Raw genomic sequence first — 26,847 nt, 5'->3', positions numbered from 1 at the left:
CATGCATTAGGACTATTTCATGCCTTGTTTCACTTCCCATGGGCTGATCTGAGTGTACATTACTATTGACTAGTGTGGATTGGCTCTGAATTGTACATTACAGAATGAGAAATAGATGCATGAAGCAATACACTTCTGTAATGTACGTAGAAATGCAATGTTGCACTTTTATATTGAATACAACAATCTTGACTCATCACTGCTAAGACATCCACCTAGAGTGGTTCTCCCTGTTTCACTAATGAGTTAATGTGTTGCCCTTTATTCTGTGGCCTATTTCTTCTCCCAGTAACAATTGACACTTCATTGTGAGGCACCTGAGGTTAAAGGCACAGTCTGTGACCTGTCAAATGAATTTCCTTCTGCCTGAATCTGAGTGTACTTTAGATGAGATGTGTCTGGGCCCATGGTTTCAGCAGGATCCTGTGCCTTAACTGATGTGACCTACCTAAACCAGTAGACACAAGTAGATAAATGTTTTCTCATAGTGGAGAAAAATGTTGAATAACATTTTCTGAGCCTTCAAATAAGTATCTTAAGATGCTAATTTCAATTAATGGTATTAGAGGAATTTCGTTTATATTGGAAGATTATTTTGCAGGACATTTTAGTTGAGGAAGCAAGATTTATAAATGTATCAATTAGCTGGCTTCATAATTATTGTATACACCCTTGGAAAGATTATTACATTTATGTAGGATGCAGAAACACTTTATTTTATGAACAGCACAAATAATAATTTTATTAAAATGTTTTTAAAAGGTATAAGGAATATTCAGTTAGATCAAGGTGAGGTGTGTTACTTTAGAAGGAGAAAGATTATATCAATTCAAGAGAGAAATAATAAATGCTATTCTGAACTTTATTTCCCAATAGTAAAATAATTTTCATTTTTGCAATAGAAATGGAATTATTAGAACTTCCTAAATATATTAAGTTCCATTTAACAGTTAGCTTTCAATTCTACATTTGTAATAGGAAGCATAGTCATTCAGCACTGTGGAATTAAACTCATAAACTATCAACACTCTGGCATCTTTTCATGTTGTGTCCCAAATAAATAAGACCAGATATTCTAAGCAGATCATTGGTGCATCAGGATGCCTTATTAAGTCAGATATTTAGCATCTTATTGTACAGATCCTATGATTTTACATACATTTACATGTTTAGATGAATGAAGCTGACATTATTTAATCAATGAACTATCTGATATTTTTAGAGTCAGCGAATGAGGCACAGCAACCACTCCACAGAGAACTCTCCAATTGAAAGACGAAGTCTAATGACCTCTGATGAAAATTATCACAATGAAAGGGCTCGGAAGAGTAGGAACCGCTTGTCTTCCAGTTCTCAGCATAGCCGAGATCATTACCCTCTTGTGGAAGAAGATTACCCTGACTCATACCAGGACACTTACAAACCCCATAGGAACCGAGGATCACCTGGGGGATATAGCCATGACTCCCGACATAGGCTTTGAGTCTAATGAAACAAAAAATATTCATCTGTTGACAATTTGCCATAGCAGTGCTAGGATAAACCAATCATCTTAACTTGGCTAACATAGCACAGTATTTACTGTGCTAATGGGCTGCTGTCATTTTATGCTAAGTAAGGGGCAAAAAAAAAAATTACATTATGCCCTTGAGTCTAGATGGATATTAGATGCCCGATCATATAGATATTTTTAAGTGCAACATTTACATGATAACAGTACATTTTGTTTTCTTCATAGATTTAGACACATCAATTTGTAATTTAGGGTACTTACAAGGCACATATAAAATAATTTCCCATGCTGGAAATTCCAAATGACCAGTTCCAGTTGGAACCAATTTATAAACCAATTCCTGTTGGAATTTGGGTGAATTGACTAGAAAGTCTACTTGAGCATGTTGTAATCAACTGAAAAATCTGGGGGGAAAAAAAAAAAACTAATAAGAAAATCGAAATACCAATAGAAGCCAAATCCAGCTTTGGTATTTATTTGCTGGAAGCTAAATTTACACTTAAAGTTGGAGTGTATAAACATTTTAATATATGTTAATGTTGCCAGAATGACTTTTCAGACTTACCAAATGTATTGATAGTGCCAAAAAAAAAATCTCAGAAATCTTAATGCAGAAATTATATAGTCTCCTCAGATTTTAATATTTTTATTTCTTTCCTGGCACAGCTGTTGTATTCAAAGTGTTTTGCTTTTTGTTTGGTCAGTACTGTTAGCTCATTTGAAGTTGGCAAAAACAAATACAAACAAGCAAAAAACCTCAAATTTTTTTCAGCAGTGAGAGAGAATAGTAAAGAGAGGCCCAAGCATAGCTGGTTATGTGAAATATAAAATGGGGTGTTGTTCTCCCTTTAATCAATCTGAGCACAACTACATACATCCAGGAATCTGAAGTCAGATAGTAAGGATGTGGTACCAATCCTCCCGAGTGCAATGCTAAACACTTCCAGGTGGGAATTCATCTATTTCACTTAACACAAACGCAGGGTCTGTATTTCCTGCCAACAAGATTGAGTATCTTTCCATTGCTTCTCTCAGTCTCTGTCTTTGAATATCTGAATGTTCTGGCCCTTCAACAAATTCTTTAAATCATGCTAAGGAATTTCGTTTTATGTGGACACACTCAACTTTGATATTCAGGAGATGTTTTTACAAAATGACTAATTGAAAAAAGTTGAAACAAATGATTTTAAAAGCTTGCAGTAAAAAATAAACTCATAGATTCAGCAAATATTTGTTGACTAAAATTATAGCATTTTTAATGCAGAAAATTATAAAGAATTTGGAGATTGAGCTGCCTTATTTCTAATGAACACTCCTCTTCATCTTATTAAGTCTTCACAGTTTTTCCAGTGGCTATAATTATGGAATTGGTGACCTATGTTTTATATTATCAAGGAAGCCTTAGATTCACTCTGATCTAAGAAATTATTGAAATTGACCCTTTTTACACAAATGTCTTTAAAAAAAAAAACTTATTTCTAAATGTCCATAGTGCATGCATTTTCTAAAACCCCAATAAGTCCAGCCATAAAAGTTCTTTTCTGCTAGTACATGTCATGAAGCCTATTTTTGAAAATAATGATAATTAATTTTATAGTATCTTCTTTTCTCCCCAAGCCTTTCAGTATTCAGGCACTCAAAGCATGCACCAGTTCAGTAATCTTCTTGACCATGGAAATAAGTTCCACATTACTGATGAGTTATATATATATCTTGAACCCCATTACAACCTCACCACATCCCCCTGCATTTATGTTCAGTGTTTGTACCCCATTATGAACCTGTTTAGCTGATAATGAGGATACCTATAATTCTGTAAGTCATTTCAAATATTTGATACAATTAAAAAATATGGGCTTAGTAAATTTTAAAAGTTAACATGTGATACTGGCTTGTGAGATTCTTCTGTCATCTAGTGAAGCTTATAAAACTTTCAGTTAAGACATTTTAAAAGAGTTATATCCATTAGGCACTTTAATAAACATATAACCTGCCATTACTGAATACTTTGTTAGAACACAGAAGAGCATCTTCCAGCAAACAAAAATATATTTATTACATGTACAGCACATACTTGCATGAGAAAGAAAACATTAGCCAAAACATTTTTCTATATGCTTTACTGGTTTCTTGTTTATGCGCATTAAAGTATTTAATTGCAAAGAGTGCACCAAGGTGTACAAATTTAGACTAGACAGCTGTTCAGCTTTTTCTGTAGTAGCATTAGCAGTTTGGTCATTTAACTACTTTAAGATACTTACATTTTATGGCAGGTAGCTGTAACAGCATTTAAATATATTTCCTAGTCATCAAGATTACCATCTTCTTTCAACTTTTTAAAAGTCACTTGTTTTTAAAGGTTTTTCAAAGCCTTGTTTTTAGTCTTCCATGTCATGCCGATAAAGAGAGTCTCATTCAATATCTGTGCACAAAACCAATCTATCAATTACCATCAGATGTCCATACCTGTTTTGCTTTGCATTCTTATTCAAAAGCTGACAATCTTGGAAAGGGTATAATGTATATTTTATTGATGGATATATTTAAATGTTTACTTTAATTTGGAATATTCTTTCCCCTTCTTTCTGTAATAAGTTTATCTTCCTCAAATAAGGGGATATACATCTTATTTTTTTTAAAGACTTAAGAGTTTATTGTGTAAATGATACTTAAAATCTAGATATATACTAAATGAAAAGTTTTATTTTTGCCAAGCACACCAAGCACCTTTGAAAAATACATACTCCATACTTTGTTTTTAATTAATTTCATTTAAAGATAGCAAATGATTATAAGCAAGAGAAACAAGTCTTTTACTGTTTTGAGGCTGTTTTAACTTACAGTATAAGCCACATACTAGAATTCTGTAATTTCAGTCACAGACATATAATAATGTGGACTCATGTGACAATGTGGAAATGTAGTTCTGGAAAAAAACGAATGCAATTTGTCAATCCTGATGTTAATTCTCAAGGGTATAATGTCACTCTAATATTATAACCAACAACATTATCTTGTTTAATATTTAAAGCAACACTTAGAAATGTTTATAAATGATGATTCTCTCTTATCTTTATACAGTTCTATTGGAGAGAAGGTTGAAATTGTTCACAATTTAGATGATGGTCTTTCCTAATAAGAGTCTTAATTTTGTGACTATATAAGTCATTGCAGTTAGTCTTTAATGAAATGAATTTTATTAATGTAAAACAAATTCTGAGACAATTATTTGTTTCCTTTAAATAATCTGCTATTTAATTATTATTGTCGTTGTTTGCAAAATGTATTTTTGGAATGTTAACCTCTTTTCATACCTGCATACTTGAACTTGTCTTTTGTGTGGGGGCCTTAAAATTCATAATAGGAAGTGGAGGCAGTGAAAGGAAGTAAGAAAAGGAAATTATGCTAAAAGATGGTTTGCAAATTTAAATTCTTTAAATGAACATATCACAAAATGTTGTTAAGACCCAGGATGTCCGTTAAGAATGTGTCTTGGCAACCTTAATTTGCATGTTAGTATATATTTTCTTAGTTACACAGTTTTATTTTGGTATTTGCTTAAAAAATGTAATACCATTGTAGAAATTACCCTATGTACTGATATATTTACTACCTCTTCTCTAGAGAAGACAATCTGTCTTTAAAGGGAAAAACACTGGTCAATAAGTAGTGATCAAAATTATCACTATTCTGGCTAACCTTGCTGCAAAGCTAAATACATAGATTATTAAAATATGCCTTCCCTTTAGATTTTAAACTGTTTCCAAAATGCTGTTTGGCACCCTTTCATTTCTTCCACGTTAGTGAAGTTTTCTTTGAATTGGTTCACAGTTTATCATGAGGCAAGGTTAATTTAACAAATAAGTCATCATAGGGAACAAAACAAACTGCAAGGGAATTGCCTTTGTGTGCAACTTGTTATAATATCTAGTTCTAAGTCTAAAGGAGTAAAAGTCCAAAGACTTTATGTTTAAGAGCAGCTGGTTTGCAAATTCACATTTTGTTGGTCCTTGACTTCCACAGAGCATGACTTAGCCATTTACTGGGTAAGGATATGCATAATCTTGGACTCCCATGTAATTGGAATAAACTTCATATCAATGTTTCAAATAAATGCTATGTACCCCTTATTCCTTTTACATTTCTGCCTTTGTCTTTTATGACAATGTTGCATGTTGTGTTTTTTTAAATTATATAAAACTCATCCTTGAATGACTGTATGAATGAAAAATTTATAGGAAATTATGTAATAAAATCTGTTTTATTAGTTTCTCATACCTTTAAATACTGTCAATACTATAACTGTTAGTAAGTTACTTACTCAAGCTGTGTCTATGGGGCAGAGAACAGTCCTCTTCTTTAAAATAATCATGATCAAACCAGTCAAGTCAATCCAATTAGCTGTTAGACAGACAATAAGGATAACCTTCTTTTTGACTTAAGCAGTCAAGTTAGTCAAAATAGAAAAATTGGCTTATATGGGCACCCAGAACTACAGCATTCAAAAATTACTTTTAAAAGTTTCTTCTTTTATTAAAATGGACTTTCTTAAATAAAATACATCCTCTGATAGCAGCTATCTCTTTTTACTTGTAATGATTAATTCTAAATGCTTCATGTAATTGAGGGACATTATGAGAAGACTAGAAAGTATCTCATCAGATAATCCTAAGGGCTGTAACTTCTACTTGCCATAAACAAAGTATAATTAAGAGTGAGTAGCAATTGGTTTGGGGAGTCGTAGTTATATATGAAACTTTCTTTTGTTTCTCATGATGTATGTAAAATGTTTGCAGAAGGATGGTAGAAAATGTTACTAATGAATTTAGAGTGGTTTGGGAGAATACACTGATACTTCCTCATTTGAAAATTATAAGGAGTTACAAGGGGAACTAAGAACCAGAAGTGGCTGGCCTCTAGCTTTTCAATACCTGATAAGTGTTCTTGGTTATGTTTTGAACACTTAAATTTCTCAACAAATGGCTATGTCTATATTTATGTAGGGGCCACCCTTGCCCTACTTGCATGCCACTTTGACTTTTAACTGAAATCAGTGTGAATTCTGTATGCATAAGGGATGTAATAAAGAGGCGGGATCATTAACGCTATATCGTTGCATACTATTTTTCATATGCCTTACAATATTTTCTGGGATGTTATTAAAATGAAAGCATTTTATTGCCAAAATAAATCTATGTTGTTACTTATAATCTGCATTAGCAGTAGAAAAATAATGTAGCAAAAACATATTGTACAGTACAAAATTATAAAATATATATTTTGCCAATAATATAAAAATAGATTGAGGAGAAAGAAGCACATTTGTTATAGCACAAACTTATAACAAAATCCACCGTTAAATTTGGCAGTCATATTTTTTAAAAGTATGTCGATTTAGTTCTAAGTTTTGTCAGATTTACTTCATCTACCATCTTTTTAACTTGCTGCTTGATACTTTTCCAGCAATTTATTTCATAGCCTTGCAATCTGTGGATGTAATTTCTTTTGTTTTATTCCCTTCCATAAAATTTATTAAATTTTATTTTGTGATAACACTCATACCATATTTTCTCCTCTTATTTCTTCTCTTTCAATAACAACAGCAGAAAGTCACAGCAAGTGAGCTCATAGGGCTCCTCTGAATTTTGGACATGTGTGAGATTTTTGTATTTTTCACAGCCTCGAGTCAGAATGATCAATAAAGATGTCCCAACCACAAAAAATTATATTAGTTAGGGATTCTTTAATTTGTTTTGTACTGAATACTACTTTGAAACATAAGTTAAAGCCATTAGCTGTGTTTTTGTAGGGATGGTGGGAAGGAATAAAAAATAAATGTATTAACATAAAACATACTAAAACAGAAATATGGCAAAATGATGTAAAAAGATTTTTCCTACTATTCTGAGGGCTGTTGAAATCCCAGGCTATTGCTATATCTCCATTGACAAAGTGGGATAAAAAATGCCTTTGTCAAATAATTTTTTTTCTTTCTTTAAATTTTAGTTATTTATTTTAATAATTTGTCCCCTTTTATTTTTCTTATCTAGGTATGTGTAGCATTCTACAAGGCATGCTGGGTAAAATATACTATGCAAATGTGTACAGTGCTGCATGTTTTGTTCTCCCTCTGCTTTAGTGGCTTTAAAGAAAAAAACGTGGTGTTATTTTTGTGAATAAAAACATTAACAAAGAAAATGCAGAGTGCATGCATAGAGTATCCTCATTTCTATGGATTTGTTTTATGGAATTTAAATGTGTACAAAACAACTGCATTACTTTTTTTCTTTTATATAATAAATGAAAAAAACACTGAAACCAGCGTTATACCTCTCCTTTATATTATTCTAGAAATATATTGAAGAAATACTGGAAATCAATAGGTACTCTTTTATGAAAAAAAGAAAAAGTCTAAACATTTATCCTAAAAAGGGATTCAATCAAATGACTACTTTCTGAATACTCTGCCAGGTGCTGTGAGTGATCACAAAATAAGTACTGTATTAGGAAAGGGTTTATAAGTTAAATACACACACATGTGAAATAAAATACATTCGAATACATGTGCAAAATAGGATTGGATATAGAAAAATATACTAGATGAAGTATTATATTGTTCGCAAGTCATCCACTCCAAAATGATTAATATTGCAGTTATCAGACATTTCCAAAGCTATCTTGTACCTGTAAGAATTCCATAGTATGTATTTGGGGTCAATTGTCTATGTTAAGACTTGATTGGAATTTGACTTTTTTGTCATTTCACTGTATAGGAGATTCCAAAGAAATATGGACTATGTTGATTTTTATCACTGCATTAGGATTATACAGTGATTTATTAGAGTCAAGTTATTTCACAATTATCACATTTAATTCATCTGATCACCCAGGAAAGTAGGCCGGGCATGGATTATGAGATACAAATACAAATGAGGAAACCAAAGTTCACTGAAACTTCTCTCTCAAAAGAATTTTTCTTTTTTTTTTCTTTCTGAGATGGAGTTTCACTCTTGTTGCCCAGGCTGGAGTGCACTGGTGCGATCTCGGCTCACGGCAAGCTCCACCTCCCGGGTTCAAGCGATTCTCCTGCCTCAGCCTCCCAAGTAGCTGGGATTACAGGCATGCGCCATCACGCCCGGCTAATTTTGTATTTTTAGTAGAGACGGGGTTTCTCCATGTTGGTCAGGCTGGTCTCAAACTCCCGACCTCAGGTGATCCGCCCGCCTCGGCCTCCCAAAGTACTGGGATTACAGGCGTGAGCCACTGCGCGCAGCCAAGAATTTTTCTTTAAAAATACGTACTCATAGCCGGGCGTGGTGGCTCCTGCCTGTAATCCCAGCACTTTGGGAGGCCTAGGCGGGCGGATCACCTGAGGTCGGGAGTTTGAGACCAGCCTGACCAACATGGAGAAACCCCGTCTCTACTAAAAATACAAAATTAGCCGGGCGTGAGGGCGCATGCCTGTAATCCCAGCTACTCGGGAGGCTGAGGCAGGAGAATCGCTTGAACCCGGGAGGCGGAGGTTGCCGTGAGCCGAGATGCACCAATGTACTCCAGCCTGGGCAACGAGCGAAAGTCCATCCCCCCACCAAAAAAAAAGAAAAAGAAAAAAAAAAGTACTGATATGTTACTTTTAAGCTAGGTAATCATCTGAAGCATACAAAACAATGCCTGGAATACAATAAATGTTGACTGAATGAATAGTACCTCAGTTATTGGAGAGGTATTATATAAGGCTGTCTCAACTATCAAAGTATTTCAGCCAACAATCTGAAACTCATCTACCAGCCATATGCCTGAAGCTACTTCTCCTGTCATCAGCACATTTCCAATAATAAAATGTACGAGGGAGAGAAACATCTCATTTGTACTTTGATACAACATGCAGATTAGCACAGTGGTTTGAGTGTGGATCTAACCTTTGTCTGGGTTCAAAGCCCAGATCCAGCAATAACTAGCCATGAACTTGGGGCAATCACTTAATGTCCCCATGCCTGGGTATTTCTGTAGAGTGATTTGCTTTTGGTTATGGATCACATTTTCCTGTTTCCTTGCACGTCTAGTGATTTTTTATTGGATTTAGGACAATGTAAAGTTTACATTGTTGATGACTTGATCTCATATTCCTTTAAAGAATGTTATACTTGTTTTGGCAGGCAATTGTGAATTAGTTTGGCCCTTTCAAGGTTTGGTTTTAAGCTCCTTTAGGATTGGTCTTGTGTAGGGCTTATTCTTAGGCCAGTTAGCTCCTCTTCTAAGGTCTCTGGTGGTGTCCACTCAACTATATCGAGTTTATCCAACCCACAGCCTGTGGGCTGCATGCAGCCCAGGATGGCTTTTTAAAAATTAATTAATTAATTAATTTATTTATTTATTTTTGAGATAGTCTTGTTCTGTCACCCAGGCTGGAGTGCAGCGGTTTGATCTTGGCTCAGTGCAATCTCCACCTCCTGGGTTCAAGCAATTCTCCTGCCTCAGCCTCCAGAGTAGCTGGGATTACAGGTTTGCGCCACCATGCCCGGCAAATTTTTGTAATTTTTGGTAGAGACGGGGTTTCATTGTGTTGGCCAGGCTGGTCTCGAACTCATGGCCTCTAGAGATCTGCCCACCTTGGCCTCCCAGTGTTGGGATTACAGGTGTGAGCCACTGCACCCGGCCCTAGGATGGTTTTGAATGTGGCCCAATACAAATTCGTAAACTTTCTTAAAACATTATGAGTATTTTTGTGATTTTACTTATTTTTTAGCTCATCAGCTATCAATAGTGTTAGCTTATGTTATGTGTGGCCCAAGACAATTCTTCTTCCAGTGTGGCCCAGGGAAGCTAAAAGATTGGACACCCCTGTCCTATATATTCAGTTCTCTTCACTCTGGCTGAAGGGAACTCAAATGATTCCTGACCCGTTGTAATCTCTGGGAATCATTTGCATTACAGTTTCCTGGTACTTATTTTTCCTCAGGAATTGTGACTGACCAGCCTCTTGGGGGTTCATACTGCACGAGCACAAATTGATATGCAGCCAAAGACTCAATGGCCCCTTAACAGGTTTCCAGAGCTTTTCTCTGTGTAGCTCCCTCCTTCCAGTTACTCTGCTTCACAAATTCTAGTCACCTTGATCTCTGGGAATGCTGATATGCGTCTTCAGTTCTAAGAGGTTTCCAGATTCTCATTTGGGTTCCCACTTCCTCCGTAGTTGACTGGGAATTGCTTTTAGGGATAAAGTCCAGGAAATGGTAAGACTCCACCTGTTCCTTTCTCTTTTGCAAAGAATCACAGTACTGTGATGTGTTTTTCAATATCTGAAATGTCGTTGCCTGTACTTTGTGCAGTTTTCTATTTGCTAATGGTAGGAGGATATATTCAAACCATCCTACTCTCTCATGCCTGAAGTCAGAAGTCTCTCCAATGACATTTTGCATTTCTCTGTAATCATAGATAAATTGGTCTTTAAACTCTCTGTCTCTGTCTCTCTCTCTCTCTTCTTTCTTCACTCGGAAAATAACCTGGGAGACCATTTCCTTGGGTAGATTGTAAAATATGAAGCTCCGCCATCACATAATGTGTATATGACATCCATTTCATAAGTTGACATCTGTGTGGGAGTCTGAAAAAGTCTTAGAGCTACCAAAGCATTACCTACGGTGTGCGAGAATGGAAATATTACAGAGTTAATGCAAATTGGTTATACAAACTACATTGTTCTTCTAAACAGTGTACAGAATATTAAGTAAATCCAGACATGATAATACATAAATTAATATGGATTACTATGATTTTCCTTCCCTTCATGTATGGCTCCTCTAAACTTTGGCTTTTTAACCATAAAGCCCCAAAAGAAGTCAACGAAATTACTTTTCTATATTTTGAGGTAAAATACTGGGTAGTTAGGAGAAGTGAGTTGGGAAGGTGCGGTTTATTGCTGATTTTGCTTAATTTCATTCAGCTGTTGGGGATGGGAGTGCAAAGCAGTTCAAATGGCTCCTACAAGTCTCCCAATTTTTCTTTATTTTCCTTTTTACTAAGGTTAACGAGAACAGAAAGGGATGGAGCTTTGGTGGCCACTAAAGGTTTTTAAACAGGGTAGTGACTTGATCAAAATCGTTGTTTTGGGCAATACTGACGTGAGAGTTAAGAGATTGGAGAGAAAAGAGCCCTGAAGTGCAAAAATGGCTTTAAGGTGACTATCTAGGTAAGGCCACTGACTTCAGCTGAGTGTCAGAGGGCAGCAGACTTTTCCCTCAAAGACCCACAGGGGACACAATGTCTTAAAGAGTCATGACGTGGAACTTTAAGTGTAGTGTATGTGAAGGGTTGGGGATGGACATGGGGTACTCAATTATATGTTTACATTATGGCGCAGTGGAGAAGATTCGAGGGAAATATAAATACTCGGGGACGCAACAGCAAGCAGTCGGAAGCCATCTGCCCCAACTTGCGGTCTTCACAGCCTCAGTCCCAGGGTAAAGTCCTGCGCCTTCCGCAGTCTTGGTTATGCAAATAAGCGAGGACAGGGCGGGCGCCCTTTCCTACGCTCCGCCCCTCTGGCCGCGCGCCTGCGCACTCACGTCCCTCCAGGCCCGCCCCTTCACTTCCCCCGCCCGCGTGGTCGTCGCCACCGCAGCCGCCCGAGAGGAGCTGGGGGAGGACGGTGGCCCGCGAGGCTCGTCGCAGACAACGCGGCGGCGATGTCCGCGAGCCAGGCGAGTGCCGCGGCGGCAGCGGCGGGGCCTTGCGCGCGGCAGGGCGGCCTGGGCTTCGGCCTCCCTCCGGTTCCCTGGAAGCGGGCCCGCGACCAGCGCGGGAGCAGCAGCAGAGGCGGAGGCTCCAGCGCGTCTCTCTCCTCCCCCTCAGCCTGAGCCGGGGGAAGCCAGGCGGCCCGGGTGTCTGGAGGGGGGGGGTCCGCTGCCCGAGAATGGGAATTCTCTTCACTAGAATATGGAGACTGTTCAATCACCAGGGTGAGGAGCTCGGTCCGCGGGCGTACGGGTTGGGGAGAGGGTCAGCTCGGGCCGGCTAGGTGGGGGTCTCCGAATACTTCGGAATGTGGGCGGCTCGGTCGGGCGCCAGCTCAGCGCGGGGTGCAGGCTGCGCGGATACGGGCCCGGGACGGTTCGGTCCCGGCTCCCGAGCTTGGGGATGGTTCCTGACTCGCAGCCCTTTGTCTTAGGAGACCTTCCTAAGAAGTCTTTTCCGTAATAGACCCATTGCTCCGATTTCGAATGAGAGTGGTAAAGGTTTCTTGCCCTAGGTCCGACGTCCCTGAGTAGCACGGCCTGGCCTGTCTTTCAGCCCTTTCTTTGCTCACCAGTTGTGTTTGGACACCACATAGAAGTGCTGGGGTCTTCTGGAATGAAGGTTATAGATTGCTGCCCTAACCGCACCACTGAGCGACCGAGGGTTGCAGAATGCGGAAAACGGGAGGAATCGCTCGACTTGTCCATTACACCTCTGGTTTATGAGCCTGCCCTCCACTGCCACCCGTCTTTGTGTGTGTTGGGGGCAGGGGGGGTTCTTCTGCCTCCTGAATAGAGATGGACTTCTCTCCATTTGTTTTACTTATTATATCTGTGTTTAAGGTTAAGCTTAAGGTCATTTTTCTACTCGTGTGGGTTATTAGACACAGTTTTTGTTTGTTTTGCTGGGTTAAAAATGTTAAAGTGTTTCACTGAAAGTTTTAAAAACATACCATATGAAACATTTGTTAACCATAGGTAACTAGCAAGTTACTAAGTGTAAAGTGTGTTATATAGGGATGCTTAAGTTCAGCCAACTTCAGACATGGCCATGAAATACCTATCAGGCTTGTTAAAATTTGTTACAAAATGACTAAAACTGGGGAAAGAGAATACAATTTTAACCCAAAGACTGGATACTTATTAAGATACAGTGGTGTACTTTTGTTTCTTTTTAACTCAAGTTGGGTGGTTCATCATTCCGCTGTCAGGAACTTAGTTTGTGTTTTTCTGTTGTGTAAGCTGATGGTGTCACGTCCCAGTTTTCCAATAAAGACTTACGTGAATGGTGGCATCTATTATGTACACCTACTACTACCACCTCCTCCTTCATGATCTAGCTGCTCTTTTAAGAAGCTTAGGGGAAGCAAGCAGAACTAGAACTTGTGATCCCTAATGTATCTTTTACGCACACACACACACACACAGATGTGTAGGTCACGTGATACCGAAAGAAAGGGCAGTATCAATTTTTCTGATAAGAGGATTTTTCATAAAGTAGAGAAAATCAGTTCTAATCAGCACTGTCTCTGACTGGACTGGCTGTTAGTGTTGGGAGCAGGAGAGTGGGAAGCAGTCACTTGAACTCTCAGGTTTTCTGGTCTAGGTTTTCTCACCTAGAACACCAGGGATCTGTGGAGCTTCCAAATCTTGTAAACTTTATTTCTACATTGCAAATATTAAAACGTACATTGCTGTAAGACTGATGGTACTTATAGTAGATAAGATCTATTCTAGTTTTAACATCCATCATTTTGTATTATTTTTAGCAAAGCTAGTGTTTCATCTGCTGTGAGGTTTAGCAAGACTGTGAATTGAGCTCTAGTGCTGCCAGAAAAAGAGTTATCACCACTTTCTATTTTGAGTCAATGATAAAATTATTTGTTTCTGTAAGTTAAGAATAAATGAGAACTTTGCCAACAGCTCCTTGGAGTAGTAAATAATAAGGGTGTGTGCTCTGGTATCACTACAAATTGCTAATAGTAGTGTTTTTATAACCTGTATTTTGTGGTAATTTTTGACGGGACATTTATGGCAGTTTGGCGGAAATTAATAGAGAAATTAATGAAGTTAAGTTCTAGAAAATTAGATATGAATATTGTGAAAGTGTGAATAAATTATTTATTTTCTGCTAAACAGTGTGGCTGTCTTATCAATAGGGTCACTTTTCCGAATATCCACCATTTAATCTAATGCCAGATATTTGTTGGGTTTTGTTTTTGTTTTTGTTTTTTTGAGATGGAGTCTTGCTCTGTCACCAGGCTGGAGTGCAGTGGTGTGATCTTGGCCCACTGCAACCTGTGCCTCCTGGGTTCAAGCGATTCTCCTGCCTCAGCCTCCCGAGTGGCTGGACTACAGGTGCGTGCCACCACACCCAGCTAATTTTTGTATTTTTTGTAGAGATGGGGTTTCACCACGTTGGCCAGAATGGTCACCATCTCTTGACTTCGTGATCCACCCGCCTTGGGCTCCCAAAGTGCTGGGATTACAGGCCTGAGCCATGGTGCCCAGCAGGGTTGTTTTTTTTTTTTTCTGTATAGGACATATATAAGTTAGATATGTGTTGGATGCTCTTGTTTTACCTTCAGTGGATTCAGAATGCAATCTTACTTTCTTTTCATAGAAACTCTTGGAAAGTATGTTTCGGGAGATTACAGAATTTGCCATCTGATGAAACTTAAACTATGCAGTATCTCCTGTTTCTGAAACCCCTCGAGAACAGCTTTTTCAGTTAAAGCTCAGATTGAGTGCACAGTGAAAGCTATTTGTATACCGCTCGAACTAGAAAAACCAGAGGTCACATTTAGTTGATACTGAGATTCAGTAGAGTACAAACTTTATCCTAGATGCTGTCATTTAAATCATTTTATTTTATTTTATTTTATGTTTTAACAATCTTTTGAAGTAGTTATTTCCCCTGAAAAGGGAAAACTGAGGCTTAAGTGGAATGATTTTTTTTCCCCAGGCCATGCAACTGGTATATGCCAGAGCCAGGCAAGTTAAAACCCTGAAGGAATCTCTTAAAGAAGAGATTGACATCATTTTTCCCTCCCTCCTCCTCCCCCCATTAACTTTTTCAGTTGCTAATCTCTAAGTTGTCTTTAGAACTTCGAAAAGTTGCCATTAGTAACTTTTTTTTATAGAAGAGCTTGTGATCAGTGGTTTACTTGTTCTCAATAAACAAATATTTTAACACCTATTTAGTCCAGGAAGTGTTCTACATGGTGGGATAAGGGAACAAAACAGACAAATTCCACTGCCTTTATGGAGCTTTCATGTAGTGTTGGGAGACAGGAAATTAACTCACTTTGTCTCTACAAGTAAAATAATAGTGGTTAACACTTGTGCAAGGTTCACACAGGTTGTTTGATTTAATATTCACTTAGTTGATTTACTCTTTACAACAACCCTACAAGGTAGATATTATTCCCCTTATTTTACAGGGGTACGGAAACAGGTAACTTGCTTTAAGCACTATAGGTAAAAGTGATAGACCTGGATTTTAACCACGATTACGTAGTGCCGGAGTTATTTCTCCTACGCACACACACCTGGATTTTAACAAGATTATCTAGTGCCAGAGTTAGTTCTACACACACATGCACGCACGCACATTTGCACACAACTTCGTGTAAGAAGGACTTTGTATAAGAAGGACTCAGATAAAAAGAACTGACTGATGTGAACTATAAAAGAAGTTGTGGAATTTCCTCATTAATAGCCTTGTATTGCTCTCTTGGTTGGTTGCTAGAAAAGGAATTATAAGTATGAATGGGTGCAGGAGAAGCTGCCTGTGCTTCAGGAACCTGATGCTGAGGAAGCCACCTCTGTTTCTGGCTTATTATTGTTGTTATTATTATTATTATTATTATTATTAGGGAGTTTAAATGTGTAGAGAAGAGTACATATGGAAGCTGAGTAGCCAAGGGGTAGACTGTGTCTTAGCTTCTAATACAGATGCTCCTCAATTTGTGATAGTTGATAATTTGTGATAGATAGATAATTGAAAATACAGTAAGTAAAAAATGAGTTTAATATGCCAGACTTACTGAAAACCATGGCTTTAGCCTAGCTTGCTTTATACGTGCTCAGAACATTTATGTTAGTTTACAGGTTGGCAAAATCTAACCCAAAGCCTATTTTATAATAAAGGTTGAATATCTCGTGTAATTTATTGAATACTGTACTGAAAGTGAAAAACAGAATCTTTGCATGGGTACTCGAAGTATGGTTTCTACTGAATGTGTGTTGCTTTTACAACATCACAAGTCAGAGACCATTTGTAAACCCTTTTTGCATGCTCTGTGGAAGTGGAGCTAGGTCCTTTAAACGTTTTTCTTTTGCCACTGGGCAAAATGTTAAGTTTTGTCAGTAGGCTGCACTGGAGAGGCATTGTAGGAGGAAAGGGTGTTTGTACTTAGTTATAGTGTGCTTTCTTGACGGGCTCTGCTTGTAGCATGAACACCGTCTCCAAGGCCTGGCTCTTGTACTGCATAGTGGTCAGCAGCAGCCAACAGCTTCCCCTAGTACCCGTCTTAGTTGGTTTCATAATGGAAGGTCTCCAGTGAAATACCTCTCAATAAACAGTTTTCCTCAGCACCGAAGAGGGAGGATTTTTGGGCAGGTTCCACTGGCACCTCACCACAGCTACTTCTCTGCCATTCAGTGAGCCACTATCTGTGCCCTCCAACGAGATCTGCATCTTAAGTCTGGAGGGAGGGGGAGGACCTTTATCTCAACCCTAGGGATAGTGAGTGCTTCTTAAATTTGACATTCCCATAATCTTTTAGCCAATCTCTCATTACTCCAGTCCCCTGTAATATTTTTTTGATGTTGAACTTTCCAAGTTCAAATTATTGTGTGATTTCTGCCTCCTGATTGGATCTCTAATTTTGCCATGTGTAATCATTGCTTTTTTTTTTCAGCAACCTCATAGTGCAAAAGAAAATTTGGTTATTCCCCTGAAACTTAATTTACCATTACTGTAATAGCAAGTTTATTTTCAAACTTTCTTTTTATTGTTAAGACTTTTAAGTTTTAAAAATTGAACTTTTAATACAAAACGACTTAAGCAGATATCTCTCTCCTAACCTTTATATTTTCCAGATCTGATTTATTTATTCATGAAAAATATTAAGCTCATGCTTTATTCCAGGAGCTGTCCTATGGACTAAGAGAACTATAGTGAATATGACAAATGGAATTTTTTGCTCTGAGAGACATAGAATTAATAGGGCTTAGTGATAGTTCAGATATGAGGTAAAAATGATGAATCAAGAGGACTCTCCATTTATTTGCCCTGGTGTTTTTGTGTTTTCTGATGTTGTATGATTCACAGAGATAGTAATTCTCTACAATAACAATTATTATTATGCTTAATTTATTGACTGATGAGTTGGGGGAATATATATTAACTTTTAAAAACTGGCAATGAATGGAACTGGTAGACTGCCTGTGTCAAAAGGAAATGAAGGAAAAGGGAAACAAGAAGCAATTTTCATGACAAAACAGTAAAGTATTGATTGGTATGTTAAAGCCTAATTGGTAACTCACAGTTCCATCAAAGCATTAGAACAGTGCAGTTGTTGTGGCTTATTTGAGTAAATACAGGAATGCTGTGACATAGTCTAAAAGAAAAATCATACTAAGCAGTAAACTTCTGATGATTCTTGTGCATCAAAGAGTTGGAATGGCTGAAAGTTTTATTGCATTTGTCCACAATAACATTCTTGTAGTAGGCATATTGGGATTCTATGAAGTCTTTATTTCGAAGTGCATTATAGCACTTTTTGGCTACAAATTTACATTTTGTATAGATGCTTTTCCATCTTGCTAATGAAAGGAACAGGCTGTGGTGGTGAGAGTAAGGATGTTCAGAGGAAATTGATCTACTATTAAAAACTTTGTGACTAATCTGACCCTATTATTGAGATGACACGTTTGTCTTTGAGCCCATTGCACAGTTTGGTCTTAATTTTATAGTTCTCATTGTGACCCACATGCTATGTCTTAGATTTAGGAAGCTATTAAAAATGGTCATTGGTGGCCGGGACGCAGTGGCTCATGCCTGTAATCCCAGCACTTTGGGAGGCCAAGGCAGATGGATCACCTGAGGTCAGGAGTTCAAGACCAGCTTGGCCAACATGGCAAAACCCCTATCTCTACTAAAAATACAAAAATTAGGCCAGGCACAGTAAACTTCTGATGATTCACGTGCAGGTGGTTCACACCTGTAATCCCAGCACTTTGGCAGGCCGAGGCAGGTGGATCATGAGGTCAGGAGTTCAAGACCAGCCTGGCCAATATGGTGAAATCCTGTCTCTACTAAAAATACAAAAATTAGCTGGGCGTGGTGGTGCGCACCTGTAGTTCCAGCTACTCGGGAGGCTGAGGCAGGAGAATCCCTTGAACCTGGGAGGCAGAGGTTGCAGTGAGCCGAGATCATGCCATTGCACTCCAGCCTGGGCGACAGGGCGAGACTCCATCTCTAAATAAATAAATATAAATAAATTAAAAAATTAGCTGGGCATACGGCGAGACTCCGTCTCAAAAAAAAAAAAAAAAAAGAAAAAAAAAAAAAGAAAGCCGGGCATGGTAGTGCCTGCCTGTAGTCCCAGCTGCTTGAGAGGCTGAGGCAGGAGGAGAATCGTTTGAACCTGGGAGGTAGAGGTTTCATTGAGCCAAGCTCACACCACTGCACTCTAGCCTGGGCAACAGCGAGACTGCGTCTCAAAAAAGTCATTGGTGCTTTATTGTGAAAATACAAAAAAACTCAAATAGAGCTACGTCTTGGGAGGAAGCAACTAGAACTTTGTAATGAATGTAGTTTGTAGGTGTTTGGGTGGAGTAAGGAGGTAAAGATCCTCTGGATCATGGATTCTTCATTGGAATGGCCCTCCAGAGATCTCAGACCACATGACTACATGTGGTTTTTTTGGATATTTTCCAGGTTCTGCTTATGTTTGATTGGAGTTTCTTTCCTCCTTTTTGTTTTTGAAGTATTTTAACCATTTGGTAAGAATATGATATGTTCAAATATATTAGTTTGGTTTCCCTTGATTGACTTTAGAAATCTGCTTAGGTCTTAAGAGTTTGGGGGCATGGTTGCATATTTATGCATTTGTAAGTATATAGGAATTCATTGAATTTGTAAAATAGGTAGGCAGAAGAGTAAGATTGTAGTGTGGAGAATGGCATGAGCAAAGTTAAATGATTGGAAAGTTTATGACATGTTCTAGAGACTGAGTAGAGCAGCTTTTCTAAGTTTTAGTACGTAGGTCAAGAAGAGTTAGGGGAAGATTTGGGCTAAGGCTTAGCTAGCTTTGTCACACTCATCCTTTTTCATCATGTTTATCTAATGATCTTACCTGGATTTAGTTATTCACTTTCAGGTGCAGACAGAAGGTTATGGGTCCTCCAAAGCTTCAGACCTTGGCTAATTTCTCTCCTCTTGTTCATAGCCATTTTACCTTTCATCTTTCCTTCTACCCTAACAATAACCTAACCTTTCACCTGCTAGGACTTCCGGACATTCTTAACCTTGTAGGGCAGGACTGGATTTCTTTCCCGGCCCAAATTCCATGGCTAGCCACTTCATTTCTTTCTTATCACTGTCTCCGACACGCTTTTCTCTATTAACATTTTCCACCATGCCAGACATATGGATTCTGTTTTTTTTTTTTTTTTTTTTTTTTTGGAGACAGGATCTCACTCTGTCGCCCAGGCTGGAGTGCAGTGACACAATCTTGGCTCACTGCAACCTCTGACTCCCAGGTTCAACTGATTCTCATGCCTCAGCCTCCCAAGTAGCTGGGACCACAAGTGTGTGCCACCACACCCAGCTAATTTTTGAATTTTTAGTAGAGACGGGGTTTCGCCATGTTGGCCAAGCTGGTTTTGGACTCCTGACCTCAAGTGATCCACCCGCCTCAGCCCCCCAAAGTGCTGGGATTACAGGCGTGAGCCACTGTGCCTGGCCCAGACATGTGGATTCCTACCCTGTATCATCTACTATACCTTCTCTCTCCAGTGTGCCTTCTTTATTTCTAGGCACTGTTAAAGAAAGATTTAAAGCAGTTTAAATCCTAATCCACCACAGGATAGGTTATCTAATTTCAGCTTATTGATACTCTAGTTCATTCCATACAGTGGTTGTAAAAGATGATGCATCTTGAAACTGTTAACCTTTTCCTTTCCTCAGTAGGCAACTAAGTTGTGTTATAAGATGAAATCCTGGAATGAGTAATTTCTGCCATCTGCTTTATCTTAGACTTGTCTGTGTGTTATAGCACATGGTTTTGTTCACAGCAGTTTTACCTTGGTGATCATGTTCAGCTAGTGGCCAGGTATGATAAAGAATTTTACCTCTGCCTCCCAGGTTCAAGCAATTCGTCTACCTTAGCCTCCCAAGTAGCTGGGACTATAGGCTCACGCCACCATGCCAGGCTAATTTTTTTGTATTTTTAGTAGAGATGGGGTTTCACCATCTTGGCCAGGCTGGTCTTGAACTCCTGACTTTGTGATCCACCTGCCTCGGCCTCCCAAAGTGCTGGGATTACAGGTGTGAGCCACCATGCCTGGCCTAAGAGTCTTTTTTTTTTTTTCAGTAGTTTTTGCCTAGCTAGTTTTTCCTAACAGAACTGTTAGAAAAGCACCAGGTTTGGAATTAGGACATAGTAACCAAGTCCTAAGGACATGGCTGAAGTAAGGAGACCACTTAAAAAAATACCTGTACTAAAGCCAGATGAGGTTTTACTTTAAAGCTATCATTTTAGGAGGCTATATAGTTTTTCCACTGGTATGTCCTACTATTATTCAATCTATTCTTTGAAACTCAGAAGTTCTTTGGAAACAAATTTTTAAATAATTCTTCATATTTCACTTAACAAAAAAAAAATGGCACTCATTTTAGATACCTTTTACCTTATGACCAAGATGATACGAGGTGGCTCATCTCCCACTTTAAAGTCAAGTTCATCTTCAGAGTTTAAAAGATTTGCCACCATTAGGTGGCAATATTCAAAATGGTGTACCTCAGGCTCTGAAAGCAATTATAAAAGAACCGTAGCAAACTATTTTGAAAAAATGGTAACATGGTTGGAATAAGTGTTTAACCTCCTTAGCTGATTACGGCCCTTGTAAGAAACTGAGAGAGTACTGTTTTTTACTTCGTTGTCTCTGTGTACATTATTTATACATATACACATTTTTTAGTCATTCTTTATTGTTATATATTATAGATTCTTGCCTATGTTTTTGTTTCCTTTTGGACTTTTCCTGCTAATTTTGTACTGTTTTTAGGGTCAAAGTAGTTGTATTTTCTCTGGTATTTCATTGGTCAGAGTAATTGTATTTTCTTCCCAAGTATTGAGAAGCCCATCTAAATTCTGCCCCGTAGCTAATACATTGGGGGAATGGGGTGGAGGCGGGGGCGGGATATATTCCCGTAACTTAAAAATAAGCTGACATTTTGAGAATGCTGTGATTAAAAATCAGTATTCTCCTGGGAAGCTAAAAACTCTTATCCAAGTCAGAGATCAGAGTATAGCCTGATAATGAATTCTAGTTGTGTTAAAAATGTTTATGAGTGCGTGTATTAATAAAACTGAAGAGGAGTTACATCATCAAAAAAGGAATGCTTAATTTTGGGACATAGAAAAATGGAGTTAGGCAGAATTGCCATGCTATTTAAAAACTTTCTAGGTGCAAAGGTACCTTGTCCCAAGGACTCGATTACCTGGCCCTCATGCAGGCATGGCCTTGCTCTAAAGATGAATTCAGACCAGGTACAGTGGCTTGCACCTGTAATCCTAGCACTTTTTGAGGCTGAGGCGGGAGGATTGCTTGAGCCCAGGAGTTTGAGACCGGCCTGGGAAACACAGGGACATCCCATCTCTACAAAAGAAACAAAATATCCAGGCGTGGTGGTGCACACCTGTGGTCTCAGCTACTCAGGAGGGTGAGGTGGGTGGATCACTTGAGCCTGGGAGGTTGAGGCAACAGTGAGCCGTGATTGTGATACTGCAATCCAGCCTGGGCAGCAAGAGTGAGACCCTGTCTCAAAAAAAAAGAAAGGATTCACATCAGTCATTGCAGCCTGTAACACTCCTTGTGGTTGGGATTCCATGCTCCCCAAGTAATCATCTGATTTTAATTCAGCCATCATGTAACATATCCTCAGGGATAGACTTGTTACTTGTCATTCATTTTTCAACATTTGATCTTATTGTATGTTACTCATTTGCTGTTCTTATTTATGTCTTAGTCATTTCCATGAATTGCTCTCTCTGAGTCCTGTCTATTCTGGGATAGTAGCAGAATTGTTTGTGGATCTGGGAGACTAAAGACCACAGACGGGGTTTCGCTCTTGTTGCCCAGGCTGGAGTGTAATGGCATGATCTTGGCTCACTGCAACTCTCCGCCTCCTGGGTTCAAGCGATTTTTCTGCCTCAGCCTCCCAAGTAGCTGGGATTGCAGGTATGTGCCACCACGCCCAGCTAATTTTGTATTTTTAGTAGAGATGGAGTTTTACCATGTTGGTCATGTTGGTCTTGAACTCCTGACCTCAGGTGATCCACCCGACGGCCTCAGCCTCCCAAAGTGCTGGGATTATAGGCATGAGCCACCACACCTGGCCTGGGCCCTAGGTCTTTAAATTATTCTTAATAACTCATAAAAGGGGCAGGTGGTCATGTCACTTAAGGACCCTAGTGGTTCTAAGCTGCCTGCTCTTTCTTACAAAGAAATAGATGACTGGATAAAATGGATTGTATTAAAATGTTTTATTTACTTGATCTTCCTATTTTTGTATAATAGGAGGTGCCTATAGATCATTAGGAATTTCCTCTGGTAAGTGGCAATTATATGGAAAACATCTACCATTTGAATTATAAAGATCTTACTCTGAGGTGTTATAATCCTCAACATTTATTACTTATAGAATGAATATTAATTCAACATTTATTGAGTACCTACTTTATGCCAGGAATAGTTGTAGTCACTAGAAATGTAAAGATGATTAATATGTATTCTATACAGTTGAAGATGCCTCATTAAGCGGAGATTAGTGCACATGTAAATAATTAGGATAAGTGCTAGAGTAGAGGTAGTGTGGGAAAGCAGGAGAAAGTGATTCTACATGGAAAGCTAGACTTTAAAGGATTGGTCTAATTCCCTAAATGGAGAATTAGGATAATTCCGACATTTAGTGATACCATGAGTAGCTGTAGAGAAATGTTTGCTGTGAACATATGTGCAGCTTGTGTAGGGAGAGTGACTTGAACTTTAGTTTATAGATGCCCTTCAACTTGTGATGTAGTTATGTGCCAATAAACTTGTTGTAAGTTGAAAGTAACTTAAGTCAAAACACATTTATTACACCTAACCTGCTGAACATCATAGCTTAGCCTAGCCTACCTTAAATGTGCTCAATACACAGACATTAGCCTCCAGTAGGGCAAAACCATTTGATAGCACAGTGTATACTATTATGCAGTATTGGTTGTTTACCCTCGTTATTGAATGGCCGACTGGGAGCTGCAGCTTATTGCTACTGCCCAGTGTCTTGAGAGTGTTGTACTAGATATCACTAGCCTTGGAAAAGATCAAAATTCAAACTTTGAAGTACAGTTTCTAGTAAATTTTTATCTTTTTCTGGGCTAGCAAAACAGGTTAAGAACTCTCTCCTCTTCAGTGCTAGGCACTGCTGTGTGCTATTTTAATTGTTAAACAACCCTGAGTGATAGGTGGTATTTCCCCTATCTTACAATGAAGAAACTTAAGGTCAGAGAAATAATAAAAGTCATTTGCTCAAGGTCATATAATGCCATTAATATCTCCTTCAGTTATCTGTTTCTGTGTAATAAGCTATTCTTTAATTTTATGACTTAAAGCAATGATTTATTATTTTTCATGTTTCTTACGCGTCGACTAAGCTCAGCTAGGAAGTTCTACCTTGGGGAGTCTCCTTTGGTTGCAGTCAGATAGCAGCTAAAATTAAAGTACTCTGTAGGTTCAACCAGGCTGCACGTCCAAGATGGCTTCTTTATTTGTCTGTCTATCATCTCAGCTAGAATGGCTGGAAGAGATAGGGGCTGACTGGTCATCCCTTTCAACAGGGTCTCACCACATGATCAACTTGGGCTTACTCATTAAATTGCACAGCAGTCTTGGGCTTGCTGTATAGTATCTGACTTACCCTAGGAGGACTTGTCCAAGACAGCCAGGCAGCAACTGCAATGTTTCTGATGATTTAGGCTCAGAAATCACGTCTGGTCATTTCTGCTGCATCTGTGGGTTAAAAGTAAGTCACAGGGCCACCCCAGATTCAAGAGGAGGCGGCTACGTAAGGGCATGACTATCCAGAGGCCATCTTGGACACTAGCTTCTACCACATGCTGTGCTGTCTTTGGGAATTGCTTTCGGACAGGCTGGAAATAGATGGGTCTTACAAATGCCTGGCTGAAATGTGAAGAGGGTGCAAGAAAACATCTGGGGAACGTGAATGTCTGAGAGAAGACTCAAGGAAGAGGAGTCATTGAAAAAAAATAAATGACTAGAGACAGGAAGAAAACTTGGAGAAAGTGGTGCCACAGAAGCCAAATGGGGGGAGGGAGTCGCTGCCACCATAGCCATAGGTTCTTAGATTTGTTTTTCATGTTACAGTGGCCCTGTGGTTTTAAGGTACTCATAATTTACGATTACCCATTTAAAAAACTGACCTTTTTCCTTCCCATTCACTCCACTCCACACACATGCACCCAGTTGATGCCTTAAGTTCCAGTTAGAACCTCATTGATGTAATCCAATGTGAAACATTTATACTTTAAGTCATTTGTAAATTGTGATTATGTTTGGTCTACTTTACTGAGAGTAGGCTTGCCTAGGAATAGAGGAAATGTAGTGCCATGGCTTCCTAGAGAGGTGGTTGGAAAGATGAGAGTTGTCTCTAGAATAATGGCGATGGGGAAGGTGAGTATAATGGCACACTTCTGCTGGTCTTGCTAGGATGTTCTTTTGACTTCTGAGAAAGTATAAAGTGCCATGCACTGAATTATGCCATAGATAGAAGGGTGAGATACAGAGTATATTTTTTCCTATAATTAATCTTTTTTTTTCCTTTTTTGAAAAAAAATCACTGGTGTTTTCTCTATTTCAGAGCACAAAGTTATCATTGTTGGGCTGGATAATGCAGGGAAAACTACCATTCTTTACCAATTGTAAGTATTAACTATTTTAAAAATTATTTTATTTCTAGTTACTTTTTTGGCCTGGGTGATAGTCGATCAATGAATGCAGTAAGAAATTACATGAAACCTAAGTTACCCTGTAAGAAAGCAGGTTGGCTATAAACCTGGAGCCAGATCTCAGCAATAGTTAGTAGAAAGCAAGAAATTTATATGATATTGAGCATATAGTTGGCATTGAGTTGTCCACTTGTTTTGTGCTAAAGCTCTTTTGTTTGTAGAAAGTAGAAAAATATGGCCGGGTGCGGTGCCTCATGCCTTTATCCCAACACTTTGGGTGGCAGAGGTGGGAGGATCGCTTAAAGCCAGGACTTTGAGAAACCGCTTGGGTCACATAGTGAGATGCCATCTCTTTATAAGATATATATGAATATATATATATTTTAAAATTAGCTGGATGTAGTGGTGCACACCTGTAGTTCCAGCTACTCAGGAGACTGAGGTGGGAAGATTGCTTGATCCTATTCAGGAGGTCAAGGCTGCAGTGAACCTCATGCCACTGATTATGTATGATCACACCACTACACTCCGGCCTGGGTAACATTAAAAAAAAGAAAGTAGAAAACTATAAAGTAGAAACTATAAAGTTTCCTGGAATGACCTAGTATATGCCAGATAGCCTACGACCTAGTTCCAGCCCTGTTTAAACCCTCACTCATGTTGTAAACTAGTGGGAAAAAGATATTTAGGTATAAATTATAAAAGGAGGTCATGCTGATTTGTCCTTGATTAAAAAATTGTTCAAGCAAGTTAGCTTCCTTGCTAATTGTAATGTATATAAACTTTTTTCCCCAGTTCTATGAATGAAGTTGTACATACATCTCCTACAATAGGAAGTAATGTAGAAGAGATAGTGATTAATAATACACGTTTCCTAATGTGGGATATTGGTGGCCAAGAATCTCTTCGTTCTTCCTGGAACACTTACTATACTAACACAGAGGTAATGTTTCTTACAATATTTAAAATTCTATAAACAGAATGCTTGGAAAACATCTAGATTTGAGTCCTTATAGTTAATCTTTTTGAAATATCACAGTATGTTAATACATAGAGAGTTTAAGCAGAGTAAAATCTGATTTCCTATTCCAAGGTCATTGTTCAATATGTCCACTATCATTGAACCTCTATAGGGAGAATTGGTGGTTAATTATGTTCTGATTGTGTATTGATCTCAGAACTTGTCTTTAATAGTTTTTTTTAATGACTTCCATCTCATAGTTTATAATTTCATTTCTCTCTATTTATGTTTGACTGAGTTTAGCTCACCAAATGAGAGGGTTTTGATGGTTTGAATCCTAGCCAGTTTTACTATTTTCTTTTACAAAACACAATTGCACATTAAATAATTGTTTTT

The 26,847-nt window shown here is 38.4% G+C and overlaps 2 protein-coding genes across 19 annotated transcripts in view, besides 4 other annotated features; both read left to right on the top strand.

Moving 5' to 3' along the window:
* CACNB4 (calcium voltage-gated channel auxiliary subunit beta 4) overlaps nt 1-7,831 on the top strand; it is a 266,397-nt gene extending 258,566 nt beyond the window's left edge. For all 16 annotated transcript variants that reach the window (NM_001145798.2, XM_011511797.4, NM_000726.5 and 13 more), the window contains one exon: nt 1,223-7,831. In NM_001145798.2, the coding sequence (NP_001139270.1) occupies nt 1,223-1,483 (261 nt within the window). In that variant the 3' untranslated portion in view covers nt 1,484-7,831. The remainder of the gene's footprint in view (nt 1-1,222) is intronic.
* Nucleotides 11,856-11,905: an enhancer, noted in NCBI's record as "active region_16640". NCBI's record gives its function as "activates an Ori minimal core promoter by ATAC-STARR-seq in GM12878 lymphoblastoid cells {active_cell/tissue: GM12878}" and the evidence as "EXISTENCE:reporter gene assay evidence [ECO:0000049][PMID:35858748]".
* Nucleotides 11,956-12,465: a silencer, noted in NCBI's record as "silent region_12009". NCBI's record gives its function as "represses an Ori minimal core promoter by ATAC-STARR-seq in GM12878 lymphoblastoid cells {active_cell/tissue: GM12878}" and the evidence as "EXISTENCE:reporter gene assay evidence [ECO:0000049][PMID:35858748]".
* Nucleotides 12,181-26,847, top strand: part of ARL5A (ARF like GTPase 5A) — a 29,625-nt gene continuing 14,958 nt past the window's right edge. Inside the window, exons 1-3 of one of the 3 annotated variants that reach the window (NM_177985.3) lie at nt 12,181-12,213; nt 25,403-25,463; nt 26,286-26,433. In NM_177985.3, the coding sequence (NP_817114.2) occupies nt 26,290-26,433 (144 nt within the window). In that variant the 5' untranslated portion in view covers nt 12,181-12,213; nt 25,403-25,463; nt 26,286-26,289. Of the gene's footprint in view, nt 12,472-25,402; nt 25,464-26,285; nt 26,434-26,847 lie in introns of all 3 variants that reach the window. The other 2 variants (NM_001037174.2, NM_012097.4) reach the window with 2 other exon arrangements.
* Nucleotides 12,516-12,565: a silencer, noted in NCBI's record as "silent region_12008". NCBI's record gives its function as "represses an Ori minimal core promoter by ATAC-STARR-seq in GM12878 lymphoblastoid cells {active_cell/tissue: GM12878}" and the evidence as "EXISTENCE:reporter gene assay evidence [ECO:0000049][PMID:35858748]".
* Nucleotides 16,720-16,779: an enhancer, noted in NCBI's record as "active region_16639". NCBI's record gives its function as "activates an Ori minimal core promoter by ATAC-STARR-seq in GM12878 lymphoblastoid cells {active_cell/tissue: GM12878}" and the evidence as "EXISTENCE:reporter gene assay evidence [ECO:0000049][PMID:35858748]".

This window comes from Homo sapiens, chromosome 2 (assembly GCF_000001405.40).
Source record: "Homo sapiens chromosome 2, GRCh38.p14 Primary Assembly".
Lineage (NCBI taxonomy): Eukaryota > Metazoa > Chordata > Mammalia > Primates > Hominidae > Homo > Homo sapiens.
The sequence above is the reverse complement of the archived record's forward strand: the minus strand, read 5'-3'. Positions and strand labels throughout refer to the sequence as shown.